At 51.8% G+C, this 16,567-nt stretch overlaps 2 protein-coding genes across 19 annotated transcripts in view, besides 2 other annotated features; both read right to left on the bottom strand.

Moving 5' to 3' along the window:
• PLA2G4C (phospholipase A2 group IVC) overlaps nucleotides 1–1,569 on the bottom strand; it is a 62,972-nt gene extending 61,403 nt beyond the window's left edge. For all 7 annotated transcript variants that reach the window (NM_001159322.2, XM_011527431.4, NM_003706.3 and 4 more), the window contains exon 1: nucleotides 1,239–1,569. In NM_001159322.2, coding sequence (NP_001152794.1) covers nucleotides 1,239–1,267 — 29 coding nt within the window. In that variant the 5' untranslated portion in view covers nucleotides 1,268–1,569. The remainder of the gene's footprint in view (nucleotides 1–1,238) is intronic.
• Nucleotides 1,385–1,544: an enhancer, noted in NCBI's record as "active region_14871". NCBI's record gives its function as "activates an Ori minimal core promoter by ATAC-STARR-seq in GM12878 lymphoblastoid cells {active_cell/tissue: GM12878}" and the evidence as "EXISTENCE:reporter gene assay evidence [ECO:0000049][PMID:35858748]".
• Nucleotides 6,197–16,567, bottom strand: part of LIG1 (DNA ligase 1) — a 54,900-nt gene continuing 44,529 nt past the window's right edge. For 7 of the 12 annotated variants that reach the window (NR_135501.2, NM_001289063.2, NM_001320971.2 and 4 more), the window contains 7 exons: nucleotides 13,926–14,070; nucleotides 13,686–13,768; nucleotides 11,922–12,074; nucleotides 9,889–9,942; nucleotides 8,390–8,533; nucleotides 6,625–6,717; nucleotides 6,197–6,484 (listed from right to left, as the gene is read on the bottom strand). Coding sequence is in view for 6 of the 12 variants with exons in the window: in NM_001289063.2 (NP_001275992.1) it covers nucleotides 6,401–6,484; nucleotides 6,625–6,717; nucleotides 8,390–8,533; nucleotides 9,889–9,942; nucleotides 11,922–12,074; nucleotides 13,686–13,768; nucleotides 13,926–14,070 (756 nt within the window). In the remaining 6 variants the exon portion in view is untranslated. Of the gene's footprint in view, nucleotides 6,485–6,624; nucleotides 6,718–8,389; nucleotides 8,534–9,888; nucleotides 9,943–10,918; nucleotides 12,075–13,685; nucleotides 13,769–13,925; nucleotides 14,071–16,567 lie in introns of all 12 variants that reach the window. The other 5 variants (NR_135499.2, NR_135498.2, NR_135500.2 and 2 more) reach the window with 1 other exon arrangement.
• Nucleotides 12,719–12,908: a silencer, noted in NCBI's record as "silent region_10871". NCBI's record gives its function as "represses an Ori minimal core promoter by ATAC-STARR-seq in GM12878 lymphoblastoid cells {active_cell/tissue: GM12878}" and the evidence as "EXISTENCE:reporter gene assay evidence [ECO:0000049][PMID:35858748]".

Genomic DNA, 16,567 nt, shown 5'->3' on the forward strand with positions numbered 1-16,567 from the left:
CTGTATTTGGACATAGGATTCTTTTTCGTTGTTTGCTTTTTGAGACAGGGTCTTGCTTTGTCACCCAGGCTGGAGTGCAGTGGTGTGATCGTGGCTCACTGCAGCCTCAGCCTCCTGGGCTCAAGCGAGCCTCTCACCTCAGCCTCCCGAGTAGCTGGAAGTGCAGGTACATGCTACCATCTCCAGCTAAATTTTTTATGTTTTGTAGAGATCAGGTCTTGTTATGTCACCCAGGCTGGTCTTGAACTCCTAGGCTCAAGAGAGCTTTCCACCTTGGCTTCCCAAAACGCTGGGATTATAGGCATGAGTCATCGCACTCGGCCAGACATAGGCTCTTAAAGGGGTGACTAAGTTAAAGTGGGGTCCTGAGGGTGGCCTGGAATTTGGTTTGATTGGTTTATTTTATTTTATTTTTTTTTGAGATGGAGTCTCGCTTTGTGCCCTAGGCTGGAGTGCAGTGGCGCAGTCTCGGCTCACTGCAAGCTCCGCCTTCCGGGCTCACGCCATTCTCCTGCCTCAGCCTCCGGAGTAGCTGGGACTACAGGCGCCCGCCACCACGCCCAGCTAATTTTTTGTATTTTTAGTTGAGACGGGGTTTCACTGTGTTAGCCAGGATGATCTCGATCTCCTGACCTCAGGATCCGCCCGCCTCGTCTTCCCAAAGGGCTGGGATTACAGGCGTGAGCCACCGCGCCCAGCCTGATTGGTTTTATAAGGAGAGATTAGGGCCTCTGCAAGAGGCTTCAGGAGAAACCAACCCTGCCAACACCTTGATCTTGGACTTCTAGCTTCCAGAAGTGTTAGAAAATAAATTCCTAGCCGGGCGCGGTGGCTCACGCCTGTAATCCCAGCACTTTGGAAGGCCGAGTGGGGTGGATCACGAGTTCAGGAGTTTGAGACCAGCCTGGCCAACATGGTGAAACCCCATCTCTACTAAAAATACAAAAATTAGCCGGGTGTGGTGGTGTGCGCCTGTAATCCCAGCTACTCGGGAGGTTGAGGCAGGAGAATCGCTTGAACCCCGGAGGCGGAGCTTGCCGTGAGCCGAGATCGCGTCACTGCACTCCAGCCTAGGCGACAGAGCGAGATGCTGTCTCAAAAAAAAATAAATAAATAAATAAAATAAAATAAAATAAAAAAGAAAAAGAAATCCTGTTATTTAATTGCACCCAATCCCTGGTACTTGGTTATGGCCGCCCCAGCGGGATGAAACAGCCCTCCCTGCCCCCACGGCTTGCCTGAGCCTGGGTCTGGGGCGTGTGCGCATGCGCGGTGGAGCTTGTGCTCCGGAATCCGGTGCGGAGGCTTGGGCTCCCTGCGCTTAGCGGTGTAGTCGCTGGACAGCTCCTTCAGCCGGAATCTCCGCGGGTGAAGACTGCGGGGATCCTCGGTGCCAAAGCTTCTGTGGTCCTCCTGCTTTCCTTTTCCCCCTGTGGGAGGAGGTCGCGGGCTGGAGGTGTTTCCTCCTGGTCCTGAGCAGGGCCAACCTGGAGGTAAAATGGCCCCTGCGCCTTTAAACAGCCCTCCTCGGCTTGTAGGCCCTGCTTGGTTGCTCCAGCTTTTTCAGCTGTTCCAGAGCTCACCCGGAGCTATTTTCATCCGTGGGATCACGTGGAGGGCTGGGACTTTCCAGGCTTCCTTAGTGATGTCACCCTTCTGTCATTAGGCACCCGAGACCAGTATTCAAAAAAAGAATGTTGTCGTTATATAACTATATTGGAGATAAGTATTCCTCAAAACAGATTAGCTAATCCTCCTATGCATCTGGCTGTCTAATAACCATCATATATAATATCATACTCAAATACCCAGAAAAAGAAATATTGAGGCCAGGCGTGGTGGCTTACGCCTGTAATCCTAGCACTTTGGGAGGCTGAGGCAGGCGGATCATGTGAAGTCAGGAGTTCGAGACCAGCCTGGCCAACATGGTGAAACACCTTCTCTACTAAAAATACAAAAATTAGCTCGGTATGGTGGCGTGTGCCTGTAATCCCAGCTACTACTCGGGAGGCTGAGGCAGGTGCTTCATCCTGGGAGGTGGAGGTTGCAGTGAGCCAGATCCTTAGGGCCAACTCTGGTTCATTTAATGTCCATTTTTAGAAAACCTGTGAGCTCCATTCACAGTGAAGGTTTGAAGCCCAGAAGTGGCCTCCCAACAGGGTACCACATTTCCCAGCACCTTTGCAGCTAGGTGTGGTCATGTGAGCGAGTTATGTGGTCATGTGACCGAGTTCCAGTCAGTGCAATCGGGCATCTGTGGGGAGCACCGCTTCCAAGAGTGGCTCCTAGAAACCTCCCATACTACCCTCCTGCCTACTCTTCCTGAAGCCCAGCACTAAGCGTCATCCCAACTCGATGGGTTTTGAATTTTTTTTTTTTTTTTTTGAGATGGAGTCTTACTCTTTGTCGCCCAGGCTGGTGTGCAGTGGTGCAATCTCGGCTCACTGCAACCTCCGTCTCCTGGGTTCAAGCGATTCTCCTACCTCAGCCTCCCGAGTAGCTGGGAACATAGGCATCTGCCACCACGCCCGGCTAATTATTTTTGTATTTTTAGTAGAGACAGGGTTTCACCATGTTGGCCAGGCTGGCTCGAACTGCTGAACTCAAGTGATCCACCTGCCTCGGCTTCCCAAAGTGCTGGGATTACAGTTGCGAGCCACCGCACCCAGCTTGAATTCTTATTTTTTAAAAATAGATATGAGGCCATAATCCTAGCACTTTGGGAGGCCAAGGCAGGAGTATCACCAATTTTAGAACAGGATTTCACCAGGGGGAAGATGGTCTCCCCTGCTCCCCCTAACGCCAGGCTCACCTCTTCAGTGCCCGCAACTCCAACCATCGCAGGATCTTTTCACTCCTAGACCTGACCATGCCACTGCCCCGCCTGCGGGATAAGGTTCTACACCTCGCAGGAGCTCATGAGGCTCTCCACAGTATAGTTAGTAGTTATAGATGCAGGGTCAAGGAGCTGACAGCATGGACCAAACCCTGGCCCACCACTTCCTAGATAGTGGACCTAGGGAAGGTAACTTACATCCCTGTGCCCCTCAGTGTCCTCACCTGTTAAATGGGGAGAATAAAAGTACCTACCTGGTGGAGCCATCATGAGGGTCACTGAGGAGTGAGGATGACCCTGACTAGCTTCAGCAGAGGGACATGGCGGCCGTGTGTGGCAGATGTGTTCCTGGGGCCCTGCACTGGTGCAGGGAGGAAGAGCCAAGCCCAAAGGAACCATGGTCTCCACACAAAGCCAGTAATGTGGGGATCCCCTGACATACAACATTTACTTTTTTTTTTTGCCTTAAACATTTTATTTGAAATTGAAACACAAATGCACACTAATTTGCCAGTTCTTTAAGGCAGAGCTGTATCAGGAACTCTTAGCTATGAGAAACAAGTCTTTTTTTTTTTTTTTTTTTTTTTTGAGACGGAGTTTTGCTCTTGTTGCCCAGGCTGGAGTGCAATGGCTCGATCTCGGCTCACTGCAACCTCCTCCTCCCGGGTTCAAGCGATTCTCCTGCCTCAACCTCCTGAGTAGCTGGGAGTAACAGGCATGTGCCACTACGCCCGGCTAATTTTGTATTTTTAGTGGAGACGGGGTTTCTCCATGTTGGTCAGGCTGGTCTTGAACTCCCGACCTCAGGTGATCTGCCCGCCTCGGCCTCCCGAAGTGCTGGGATGACAGGCATGAGCCACTGTGCCCGGCTGAAAGCCATGTTTTAGAGTGGCATAATCGCCCTGGGGCTTATTCTTCCCCTACTCCCATGAACAAAAGCCCACAGTTAGGCAGCTGCTGCCCTAGGTTCGCCGGTTTAGGGTCGTCAGGAGAGTTTGTTACTCTTTTTCCTCATCATTACAAGGTGGTGACTTGGCTCCAGCCATCATCTCTAGTCAAGGCAGGAGGAGGGGAGGAGCTGCCACAACCAGGGCTGTCCTTTTTGGTCAGGAAAGATGTTTCTCCAGAAGTCCCCAGCAGCCCCTGTGCTTATGTCCCCTGGGTCTGCCCACACAGGGCTACAGGGCCACTGCTAGCCCCAAGGAGACTCGGAAGGCAATGTTGTCTTCTTGGGCTACAACAAATAGAAACAGAATGCCCAAGAGATTGTGTGCACAAGAGACCATGATGGAGACACAGGAAGAGAGACAGGGAGGCTGAGTCACAGTGACAGACAGCAAAGTAAGCCTGGCACAGACTTGCACGGCAGAGAGCAAAGCCTCGCAGATAGAGAAGGAAGGGGAGAGAGGGCGGGTGGGAGACAAGGGCAGAGGAACCTGATGAGAGAGAAGGGAAGGAGGGAGGGCAGATGTGAGAGGCAGAAACAGAGTGTGAGGGGCAGGGGACAGCTGGGAGCCCTGTGTCCCCCCTGCGGGAGTATCAGGACACCCTGACACTCTCATGCCCGGAAGCTCCTGTTCCACGCTGGGCCCCGGGGTTAGAGGCCTCCTGCTCTGGAAGACCCGAGCCTGGGCCCCGCTCCGCGTGCAGCCGTTTTCCCCAAGCCAGCCCCGTGGTGCCCAGGGCTGGGTGGGTGTTCCAGGCATCCTGCTTGCCTTGTCTGACCATTTCCCGATGGTTTTCCTCTAACATATCATCCCATGTGGGGTGGCTGCAATAATAACAGCCCCCATAGATATCCAGGTCTTAATCGCTGAAACCTTTGATGTGACCTATTTTTTTTTTTTTTTTGAGATGGAGTCTCGCTCTGTCGCCCAGGCTGGAATGCAGTGGCACGATCTCGGGTCACTGCAACCTGTCTCCCAGATTCAAGTGATCCTCCTGCCTCACCCCACTAGTAGCTGGGATTACAGGCACGCGCCACCATGCCCAGCTAATTTTTGTATTTTTAGTAGAGACGGGGTTTTGCCATGTTGGCCAGGCTGGTCTCGAACTCCTGACCTCAGGTGATCCACCTGCCTCAGCCTCCCAAAGTGCTGGGATTACATGCGTGAGCCACCGCGCCTGGCCCTTTTACATTTTTATTAATTTTATTAATAAAATTAGAGGAGATGAAGTCTGGCTGTGTTGGACAAGCTAGTCTTGAACTCCTGGCTTCAAGTGATCCTCCCACCTCAGCCTCCCCAAGTCCTCCCCAAGGCGTGAGCCACTGTGCCTGGCCTCTGTGAATGTGTGATCTTATGTGACTAAAGGGACTTTGGGATTGAGTTAGGATCCTGAAATGAGATTATCCTGGATCATCCAGGGGGCCCTAAATGTAACCACTTGAGTACTTGGAAGAGAGAAACAGAGATCTGATGGAGGAGAGGACGTGACCTGATGACCTCAGGAGAGAGATTTGCAGGTGCGATGCTGCTGGCTTTGAGGACGGAGGAAGAAGCCATGAGCCTAGGAACCAGGTGGCCTCTGGAAGCTGGAAAAAGGACACAGTTTCTCTCCTGGAGCTCCCAGAAGGAACCGGCCCTGCCACCACTTTGATGTTAGCCCAGTAAAACTGATTTTGAACTTCTGACCTCCGAAACTGTTTAGGGAATACATCTGTGTTATTTTAAGACACTGCATTTGTCTTCCTTAACAGGGCTCACGATGGTGCCTCCCTGTGGGATGGCTGGAAGGTTAAACAAGTTAAAAAATATATGTATGTAAAGATTTTAGACTACTGCTGTCCAATACAATTAAATAAAATATTTGGTATGGCTGGGTGTGGTGGCTCACGCCTGTAATCCCAGCACTTAGGGGGGCTGAGGAGGGTGGATCGCTTGAGGCCAAGAGTTCAAGATCAGCCTGGCCAACATGGCGAAACCCCATCTCTACTAAAAATACAAAAATTAGCCAGGCGTGGTGTCACATTCCTGTAATCCCAGCTACATGGGAGGCTGAGGCAAGAGAATCACTTGAACCCGGAAGGTGGAGGTTGCAGTGAGCTGAGATCTCATCATCGCACTCCAGCCTGGGCAACAGAGCGAGACTCTGTCTCAAAACAAAATCAAAACAAAACAAAACAAAACAAATTCGCATCCTCTGTCATGCTGGCCACCTGTCAAGGGCTCGGGCATTGCAGGTGGCCAGTGGCGGTCACACTGCACAGAGCAGATAGAGAAGACGCCCACCACTGCAGGCAGTTCCATGGCTGGCACTGGCTCTGGCAGTTCCTAGGCCATGGCTACATGGCTACATGCTATGCAGGTGACACCCATGACAGCTTTGCCCCCAGAGCCCAGCACAGACCCTGTCACAAAGTAGCTATCCAATAATTATTTATTGAAAGAAATGACGGGATGAATCCCAGACTCCGGAGTAAGCCACCCCCTCACACACACACCCCTCCCCTGACTCTCAAAATCCACAGCCTGCCACAGCAGATTTGCTAAAAAGCAAAGGCAATAATAACCCTGGGGTCCGTCCAACTCATGCCCTGTACCCAGGCCCTAGGAGGGCGAGGGCTTAGTAGGTATCTTCAGGGTCAGAGCCTGAGTCCTCGCCTTGTTGGTTCTGAATCTGACTTTGCTTCCGGTACAAACAGGCCACCTGCGGAGAGAGGGTGGGACGGGGTGGTCAGAAGCTCCCTGGCTGCTCCCACCTCCACAAGGTTCCAGAGAGGCCACCACGCTAAAAAGCTGGTAGGGCCAAGCAGCTGGGCGGCCCACCCCTGCTTCCCAGGACCTCACCTGAGCACTGGTGGTGGCCTGCTCCGGCTGCTTGTCTTCACGGACTCGAATAAACCGAGGGAAGCGAAGGGAGATGCCCTTGTCACTATCCACCTGCGGAAGCGGGATGGAGACTCCTGCGGTCCAGCCCCAGCGACCCCCTGCTCAGTCTCCTCCCTCCTCCACTCTGGACTGTTTCCTGATCCACATGACGGGGCCGAACGATGGGTTGTCATAAGGATTAAACAAGTTGACAAAGTGCTTGGAACAGTACCCGGGCACAGTAAGTGCTCAAGAAATGCTGCCTGTTGGCCGGGTGCGGTGGCTCACCCCTGTAATCCCAGCACTTTGGGAGGCCGAGGCGGGTGGATCACGAGGTCAGGAGATGGAGACTATCCTGGCTAACACGGTGAAACCCCGCCTCTACTAAAAATACAAAAAGAAATTAGCCAGGTGTGGTGGCGGGCGCCTGTAGTCCCAGCTACTCAGGAAGCTGAGGCAGGAGAATGGCGTGAATCCGGGAGGTGGGGAGCTTGCAGTGAGCTGAGATTGCGCCACTGTACTCCAGCCTGGGTGACAGAGCGAGACTCCAACTCAAAAAAAAAAAAAAAAAAATGCCACCTGCTACAGCCGTTACGATAATGACGGTAATTCGGGCTGAGAGGCTGAACTACGGCGCCAGGGTATGGGTTCTAGAATCTGACTGTGGGATTCCAATCCCAGCTCCCAACTCTCAGGAGCCGCGTGATGCAGGGGCAGTTACTCAGGCTCTCTAGGGCTCTACATCCTCACCGTAAAATGGAGATGTTTGTGTCACTACGTCTTACGGATTTTGAGAGGATTAAATGAGTGTCTATGAGTGACACGCTGATGACCACACAGTGCCCACTGCACAGCAAGGGCTGGATACACACCGGCTCCTGTGCCTTGTTACTAAGGGTCCCTGGCTGTCTAACGTGCAGCATGGTAAAACATTTTTAAAAATTAGATCAAAAATGTAAGTTCTTGGCTGGGCATGGTGGCCCACACCTGTAATCCCAGCACTTTGGGAGGCCGAGGTGGGCGGATTGAGGCCAGGTGTTTGTGACCAGCCTAGTCAACATGGTGAAACCCCGTCTCTACAGGCACGGGTCACCATACCCAGCTAATTTTTCTATTTTTTGGTAGAGGTGGGGTTTCACCGTGTTGGTCAGGCTGGTCTTGAACTCCTGACCTCAAGTGATCTGCCTGCCTCGGCCTCCCAAAGTGCTGGGATTACAGGCATGAGCCACTGTGCTTGCCCTGGGAATTCTTTTATTTAAGAAAAGAATTTTCTTTTCTTTTTTTGAGACAGAGTCTTGCTTTGTCACCCAGGATGGAGTACAGTGGTGTGATCTCGGCTCACTGCAACCTCCGCCTCCCAGGTTCAAGCGATTCTCCTGCCTCAGCCTCCTGGGTAGCTGGGACTACAGGCACCCGCCATCACACATGGCTAATTTTTGTATTTTTGGTAGAGATGGGGTTTCACCATGTTGGCCAGGCTGGCCTTGAACTCCTGACCTCAAGTGATCTGCCTGCCTCGGTCTCCCAAAGTGCTGGGATTACAGGCACGAGCCCCCATGCCCGGCCCATTTTTAAAGAAAAAATGTTTTGATCTTTTTATCTGACACTCAAATAAAATGCAAGCTCATCTTCCTGATCCTTACCTGGAAGAGCAGATGTGAGCCAAGGTCCCCTCCCTACTCTGCTCTCTGTGTGCCCGCCCAGAATCCCACACAGGGCCACGGCCAGGTCCTCTGCCACTCACCAGGCCCCGCGCAGCAGGGTAGATGGGAGAGAGGGAGAGGTCAGCGCACTTCACCTCCCACACAGCGCTGGGGTCCAGCCAGTGGTCGGGAATCACAGCGCCATCTATCCGCACGTAAGGGCGTGGGCTGGGCAGCACCAGCGCCTGCAGTGAGCAGAGGAAGAGAGGAACAGAGGGTCTGGAATCTCAAAGTCAAGGCCAAGTGTTGGAGGGCTGGGGAGAGGGAGGAAGGGAAAAAAACAGGCACCCCCTTGAAGTAAACAGAAATAGGAAGTGAAATAAGGGAAAAGAAACAAGACACCCCCTTGAAGTAAACAGAAATAGAAAGAGAAACAGAAAGTGAAAGAAGGGAAAAGAAACAAGACCCCCTTGAAGTAAAAAGTTGAGAAAGGTGGGAGTTGGGAGGAATGGGAGATGGAAAGAAATGAAAGGCCCTGGGGGCTGAGGCAGGACATTAAAGACAAAAAGAGGCAGAGAAAGGGCCAGAGACCTGGAGGAAGGAGACAGAGACACAGTGGGACAGGGACAGAGATGTAGAGAGAGAGGGCAATGGAGAGAGAGAACCAAAGAGTGGGACAGAGATGGTGTCAGGGTCCGTGTGTCCCCACCCACATCTTGTCTTGAATCATAGCTCCCAAAATCCCCATGTGTCGTGGAGGGACCTGGTGGGAGGTAACTGAACGATGGGGGCAGGTTTTTCCCGTGCTGTTCTCGTGATAGTGAGGAAGTCTCACGAGATCTGACGGCTTTATAAAGGGCAGTTCCCCTGCACACGCTCTCTTGCCTGGCGCCATGTAAGATGTGCCTTTGCTCCTCTTTCGCCTTCTGCCATGACTGTGAGGCCTCCCCAGCCGTGTGGAACTGTGAGTCCAGGAAACCTCTCTTTATAAATGATCCTTTTTTTTTTTTTTTTTTTTTTGAGACAGAGTCTCACTCTGTTTCCCAGGCTGGAGTGCAATGGCATGATTTCAGCTCACTGCAACCTCTGCATCCTGGGTTCAAGCAATTCTTCTGCCTCAGCCTCCCAAGTAGCTGGGACCACAGGCATGCGCCACCACGCCCGGCAAGTCTTGGGTTATTTCTTCATAGCAGTATGAGTATGAAAATAAACTAATACAGATCCAATATGTAGGACAGACACTCATGCCTGAAATGCCTGTGACCATGACAACATTCATTCACATTGATCAGGGCTCACAGGCACTTCACAAGGAGCAGCTATGGCACCTGCTGTGTCCTTTGGCTAACCCCTGGTGTGAATGAGGCACAGGGCTTGGGGAGGTGAGGCTGCTTGAGCAGGGTCACCAGCTAGTAGCCGGCAGTGCTGAGACATGAACCTGGAGATGCTGGACTCCAAAGCCAGCTCCACTGCCTGCTGCCCTCCTGCCCACACCTGGAGCCCCAAGATGGTGGAAGCCAAGAGCCCTGCATGGAAGGACTGTGCTGTCAGGGGCAGGGGGGAGAGGGGTGGAGGCTGAGGCGCAGCCGCCATGGCTCACCTTGAGGCTCTGGTGATGCTCCTCCAGCTCCTCATCACTGAAGCCAGTTCCAAGCTGCAGGGAGGAAGCGGGAGGTCAGAGGCTCAGCCAGCCACAGGCCCAGCACTTGCTCCTGCCATCTAAAGCTGTGTACACTCATGGCCCCCACCCCACTCTGGTCTACGCAGTATCCACAGAAAACCAGGGAAGTAGGGAGCTGGGGGTGCGGAGCATCCATCCAGAGACTCCCGGGTGGGAATGTTCTCCCAGCAGGCCTGCCGTGAACCACTCCCTGTCTTCTGCTTTATGGAGAAACTCTTGCTGCTTCCACTGTCTCCCTGGCCCCAGGAAGTCACTCCCTTATGCTCACCCACATCCTCACTGCCCAGTAACTGGCTGTCCTCACTTCCAGTCTTTTTTTTTTTTTTTTTTTTTTTTTTTGAGACAGGGTGTAGCTCTGTTATCCAGGCTGGAGTGCAGTGGTGCAATCTTGGCTCACTGCAACCTCCACCTCCTGGGCTCAAGCAATCCTCCTGCCTCAGCCTCCCAAGTAGCTGGGACCACAGGCATGCACCACCACGCCTGGCTAATTTTTTAAAAAAGTTTTTGTAGAGGTGGGGTCTCACTATGTTGCCCAGGCTGGTCCCGAACTCCTGGGCTCAAGTGATCCTCCCACCTCAGCCTCCCAAAGTGCTGGGATTACAGGCGTGAGTGGCCATGCCCAGCCCATCTCCAATGTTAACACTGCCAAGAGCTTCTTTCACCTACCAAAATAGGAAAGGCTAAAAATTAGCAGTAATGCTGGATGCTGGCAGATACGCAGCAAGTGGGCAATAATCACCAATATAAACGTCACCTGGAAAGCCCCTTTTGCATTGAGAGTCTTAAGGATTCTTTTTGCCTTTTGTCCTGACAATAGCTCATTTAAAAATCTATTCTAAATAATGCAAAATGGTGACAATGTAGATTGGTGGCCAAAACATTTGTGATTTATAAAAGTCACTTCTGTCACTGATCGTTTAGGTTAACGGACACTAAGTAATCACATTACCCATCAGAACAAAGCCGGCAACAACTTCCCCACACAGCCACGGGGAGCTGGTTCAGGACACAGCACTATGTGCTATGGGGCACAGCACTTGAAAACTCTTGTGCGGGCATTCAGGTCCTGTTGCCATATTGCTTAAGGGCATATACAACACTGAAAACAAAGTACTTCCAGGGTAAAAAGGCAGAAAAGAAAATTACTCATAGAGAAGGATCACAACTTTGCAAAAATGTAAATAAAACATTCCCTCAAATGTCACTACTGCGTGTCTCTGGGTGGTACGATTCTAGGTGATATTTTGTTCTGTTTCTGTGGCAAAAGACCCAAATTTGTTGGAGAGGGGAATATAGGAAATACGTAAGAAAATCTAGTCCAAAATGTGCACAGCTTTAAGAAAAACTTTAACTTGAAAAAAAGTAAATCACTTTACATTTCCCAGAATTCCTTGCAGCTAGGGGTGAGCCATGGAGCAAAGTGATGAGCAACAGAACTTGAGCAGAAGGTGTTCACTGGCTGAGGCTGACTCAGGGTCCAACCCCCTTTGCTCTTCCCTGGTGCGTGGAGCAGGCATGGCCATGAGGGCTGGAACTCCTGCAGCCACATTGTGATGATGAGGCCAGAGGCACATGGCAGAAAAAAAAAATGTGGGGACAAAAAAAAATGTGGGGAGAGGAGGAACCTGAATCCCTAATGGCATCAGACTGCCCCCTCCACACTTCTCATTTCATAACAAAAAAATTCTTTTCTTATGTGAGCCACCACTATTTGTAGCTAATCTCAATCTCTCACTGACACACATTCCTGACATCTTTCTATCCCAGCCTGTTTTTCTATATGAAGCAAGAGTTGCTCATAGAACCAGAAAAAGTAAATAAAAACTGGGGAGAACGGATCCTTCACAGGGGGATGTGAGCACCCCTCGGTCTGGGTTGTGCAATAGGAAATACCCCCGGGAGTCTAATCTCCTTCCCTCCTGCTTCTGCCATCAGCCCCAGTTCCCCAGGACCTTGCATATGGCCTGCAGCTCCTCACTGTCCTCGTCGTAGGAGGCCAGCAGGAAGCCCCCGTACCGGCCGGCCCGCTTCCCCCGGCCCAGGTAGGCGCCGATCACCACCAGGTCCAGGGTGTCACCCACGCCATCAAGGTAGTCCTTCTTCAGCTGGGAGAAGGGGAGGCAAGAGATGAGAAGGGGGAGCGCCCAAGGCGGGGCCCTCACTGCTGGGGAGGGGCTCCTCAGTGGACTGAGGAGGGACTAGAAGTAAGTCTGAAGGGAACTTCCAGAAGGAACCCCAAGGATGGCCCCTGGGAAGAGACTGGACATGGGAAGGGTTTCTAGGTTTAAATAAGAACAAATGGGGCCGGGCACGGTGGCTCATGCCTGTAATCCCAGCATTTTGGGAGGCCGAGGCGGGTGGATCACCTGAGGTCGGGAGTTCGAGACCAGTCTGACCAACATGGAGAAACCCCGTCTCTATTAAAAATACAAAATTAGCCGGGCGTGGTGGCGTGTGCCTGTAATCCCAGCTACTTGGGAGGCTGAGGCAGGGGAATCGCTTGAACCCGGGAGGCGGAGGTTGCAGTGAGCCAAGATCGTGCCATTGCACTCCAGCCTGGGCAATGAGAGTGAAACTCCGTCTTAAAATAAATAAATAAATAAATAAGAACAAATGGGAAACGCAGGCGGGATCGATGGGACCTCAGGAGTCAGCCTTGCCGCCGTCTTTCCCTCAGGACAGAGACGTGGCCAACTCACTCTGGCCACTCCTCCAAAGGGAGAGCATTTTCCCATTCGTTCAGAAACGTTCACTAAGTGCTAACCATGTGCCAGGCAGAAGCTCAGCCCTGGGGGCACAACAGTGCTATTTCCTGAGACAGGAAAGGTCTGTGCTGGAGGGAAACCAGCCACAGACAGACATAAGTACACAGGAAGAGCTAGTCAGCAGGCCTGGCCGGCTCAGTGCCACAATGCCTCCCGCTCCAGTCCCCTTGTCCACCCCTCACTGCCCCTCTCCACTCAAACATCCATCAACTCTTACTGATGACAGGCTCCTGCTCGCTGGCCCTCAACACACCCGTCCTCCACTCGAGGGGAAACCCCAGGAGCTTCGCACAATGACAACCTGTGACTCCCGGCACGGAACCCCCACTGACTTCCTGAAACCTTCAAGAGGAAGATCCAGTTTTATCTCACAGTGGCCCCAGGTGCTGCCTCATCTGGGGCCTGCTCCCCACTCTGAGCTCACCTCCCGCCTCGCCTGCCCTTGCTCCCTGCACACGCAGAGGCTGCTCCTCCCTCAGGGTCTCTGCACCGGGGGTTTTCCTCCCTAGTGCTCTGTCCCTCACTTTGGGAAAGACTCTTCCTGATCATCCGGGGCACTCCCAGCCCCGCCTTGCTGGCCCGGAGCTGACTTGCTTTTCTTCATGGCGCCCACTCCTGCCTGACTTTCTCTTATTCATGTCCTGGCTTAATTCCTGCCCAAGAGCCTGGCCCGACACGGGCGGCAGGCTCAGGAGAGAGACACCTCATCACGCTGCACCTCGTGGGATGTGCGGTGCTTGGGCTGGGGCTGTTCTCCATCAGAACTCGTGAGCAAGGGCTCGCAGCAGGGAGAAGGTCTGAACTCAGTTGCAGCAGGGGGCTGGGGTGGGATTGTGAAAAGGGGCCCTGAGCTCAGACAGGGTACACAGTGGAGGCTCGAAATCCACTGCCTAGCTGGGACAGACCTCCAGACCCGGGGTGGAGAAGGCCCAGTTGGGGGTCGAGAATCACCTTGAGCCAGTTGTGCGATCTCTTGGCGATCTCGTAGGTGGCATCAACATCCAGGGTCTTCACCATCAGCCCCTCGCAGGAGTCTGAGGGAGACACAGAAGCGTGGTCCTTGGGAAGCCCTGGCTCACAAGCGCCGGAGCAGGCAGGATTCTGGTCAAACGGTCCAGGACTGGGGACAGGCTGGGAGGCCGGGGTCAGCGCAAGCTGCAGACCTCAGGAGAGAAAAGTGAGCACCCTCACCTTTCACTGACTGCTCCAGGAACTCGGCGATCTGCTCGATGTCCTTGGTGTCCAGGGAGGTGGCGAAGACAAACTCGCCCTCTGTCTCCACAAAGTTCTCCCGGAGCAGCTGCCGGCGCCGGGAAAGGGGCTCACGTACCAGGGACTGCAGGGCCGGCAGGGAGAAGAGAGATGAGACATCTTTGTGAGAATAAAGACAATAAGCCCTAAATGTGAGGCGAACAGGACATGTGCGGGTCACAACTAGTGACAGGGTTCGTGGAAAGCCTTGAGAGGGAAGAACCCTGATGTCAGAAGGATTCTGAGAGCTTAAAGCATGGGGCTAGTCACTGGCAAGAGGGCCCGACACCATTTAGAGTCGGTGACTTCAGGAGCATCAGACGGGGGGCTGCGGCCTTGCTGGAGCTTGAATTAACACTTTACGGGCATCTCATCAGTTTTGTTTTTTGTTTTTGTTTTTTTGAGACGGAATCTCGCTCTGTCGCCCAGGCTGGAGTGCGGTGGTGCGATCTTGGCTGACTGCAGCCTCCGCCTCCTGAATTCAAGCGACTGTCTTGCGTCGGCCTCCCGAGTAGCTGGGACTACAGGTGCACATCACAAGAGATCCACCCACCTCAGCCTCCCAAAGTGTTGGGATTACAGGCGTGAGCCACTGCATCCAGCCTCATCCCCAAGATAATTAAAAAAAAAAAAAAAAGTCCTCCTTTCCTTAGAATTCCAAAAGTTTTCACTGAGTTTTTCCAGCACATTTACAGTTTTGTGTTTTGCTTTGAAATCAGTTCCAGCTGGACCTTGCAAGAGTGTGTGTCAGAGAGGAAGGAGGTGATCTGAGTGTTTTTAAACAAAGGACAAAGCAGTTGTCTCCACATGTCAACACTGACTAATCCGTCTTGTGGCTTTGAATTGCTTTTCTCTTTTGTTCGATCGGTCCCCACCCACGCGCAGTGTTTCTGGTCTGCCCTTTGCTCAGGGCTTCTCTGTGATGATGTTAAACTACCTTCACCACTTGCCCTCCAGGGGGACATTCACGTGTTTTCCATGGACAGCTTTTTTCTGTTGTAAAATTGTGCTCATGAACATTTTGTATGAAAAGATGAGAGAGAGGAGCCACAAGGGTTAAGCAGGTACAATTTATCTGGGGTCAGACCATTTCAGGTTTACATCCCAGCCACACGCTTCCTAGCTGGTGACTTCAGGCAAGCGTTTCCCTCTGTGTACCTCAGAGCTCCCATCTGTAAAATGCAGCAATACCTACTCAGGGCACGTCTGGGAAGATCAGCTGAGCCCGTGCTACCCAGTGTAGCCGCCACCAGCCATGTGTAGCAATTGAGCCCTTGAAATGTAGCAAGTTCAATCGGAGATGTGCCAAGGGCAAAACAGTCACTGGCTTTAGAAGACTTAATCCAAGAAAAGAGTGTAAAATTCCATGTTAATAATTTCTTATATTCATCACACATTGAAAGGATAATATCTTAGACATTGGATTAAAGAAAATATGATTTTATCTGTTTCTTCTTACCTTTTAATATGGCTACTAGAAGCTCTAAAATTAGAAATGTAGGCTACTGCAGTGGCTCATGCCTGTAATCTCAGCGCTTTGGAAAGCGGAGGTGGGTGGATCACCTGAGGTCAGGAGTTCAACATCAGCCTGGCCAACATGGTGAAACCCCGACTCTACTAAAAATGCACAAATTAGCTGGGTGTGGTGGTGGGTGCCTGTAATCCCAGCTACTTGGGAGGCTGACGCAGGAGAATCACTTGAACGCCAGAGGCGGAGGCTGCAGTGAGCCAAGATCACACCACTGCACTCCAGCCTGGGCGACAGAGACTGTGTCTCAAAAAAAAAAAAAAAATCATGGGGATGAGGACACATTAAACAGAAAAAAAATGATATACTTGACTACATAAAAATAGTTCATCCATGTTCAACTACTACTAATAAAAAAATTTGTAAAAGTAATAGCTCAAACAAGTCCTATACAACAAAATAGGCCATCAATAAATTTTAAAGAAGGAATATTTGAAGGAATGAGAAGAAATATTTGAAATGCTCATGGGAGACAAAGGAACCAGCTGAGCAGGGATGATCAAATCCTGCAGAAAAACCCACAAAGTATCCAGTGTTTGGAAAGCACCTGATACTTGACTTTCCTCTCCCCAGACATCACGGGAAACAAAAATCAGACTCTGACTGTCTTCCTACAGTAATTTCATGTAGTGAAACATCAGTCTGCATCATGAAATTGGGGGTTTGAGCATCAAAGGCATCTCTGCATTAGAACCACTACCAGCTCCACCTGTCCCGGCGAAGGACAGATGGGCCTAACGGAGAAAAAACGTTTACAGACCAGGAAGACATGAGTGAGAACCCACCAGACAGGCAGGCAAAAGACACGCGGAGGCAAGTCACGGAACAAATGCACGCGGCCAACAAACCTGAAAAGATGATTGATCATCAATATCCATTAATAAGACAGAAGTGACCAAGTTACCACAAGATCGTGGTTCATCTACCAGATGATCATCTGGGATGGGCCGGGCGTGGTGGCTCACGCCTGTAAATCCCAGCACTTTGGGAGGCTGAGGTGGGCAGATCACGATGTCAGGAGATCAAGACCATCCTGGCCAACATGGTGAAACAC

Source organism: Homo sapiens, chromosome 19 (assembly GCF_000001405.40).
Source record: "Homo sapiens chromosome 19, GRCh38.p14 Primary Assembly".
In the NCBI taxonomy this organism is placed as follows: domain Eukaryota; kingdom Metazoa; phylum Chordata; class Mammalia; order Primates; family Hominidae; genus Homo; species Homo sapiens.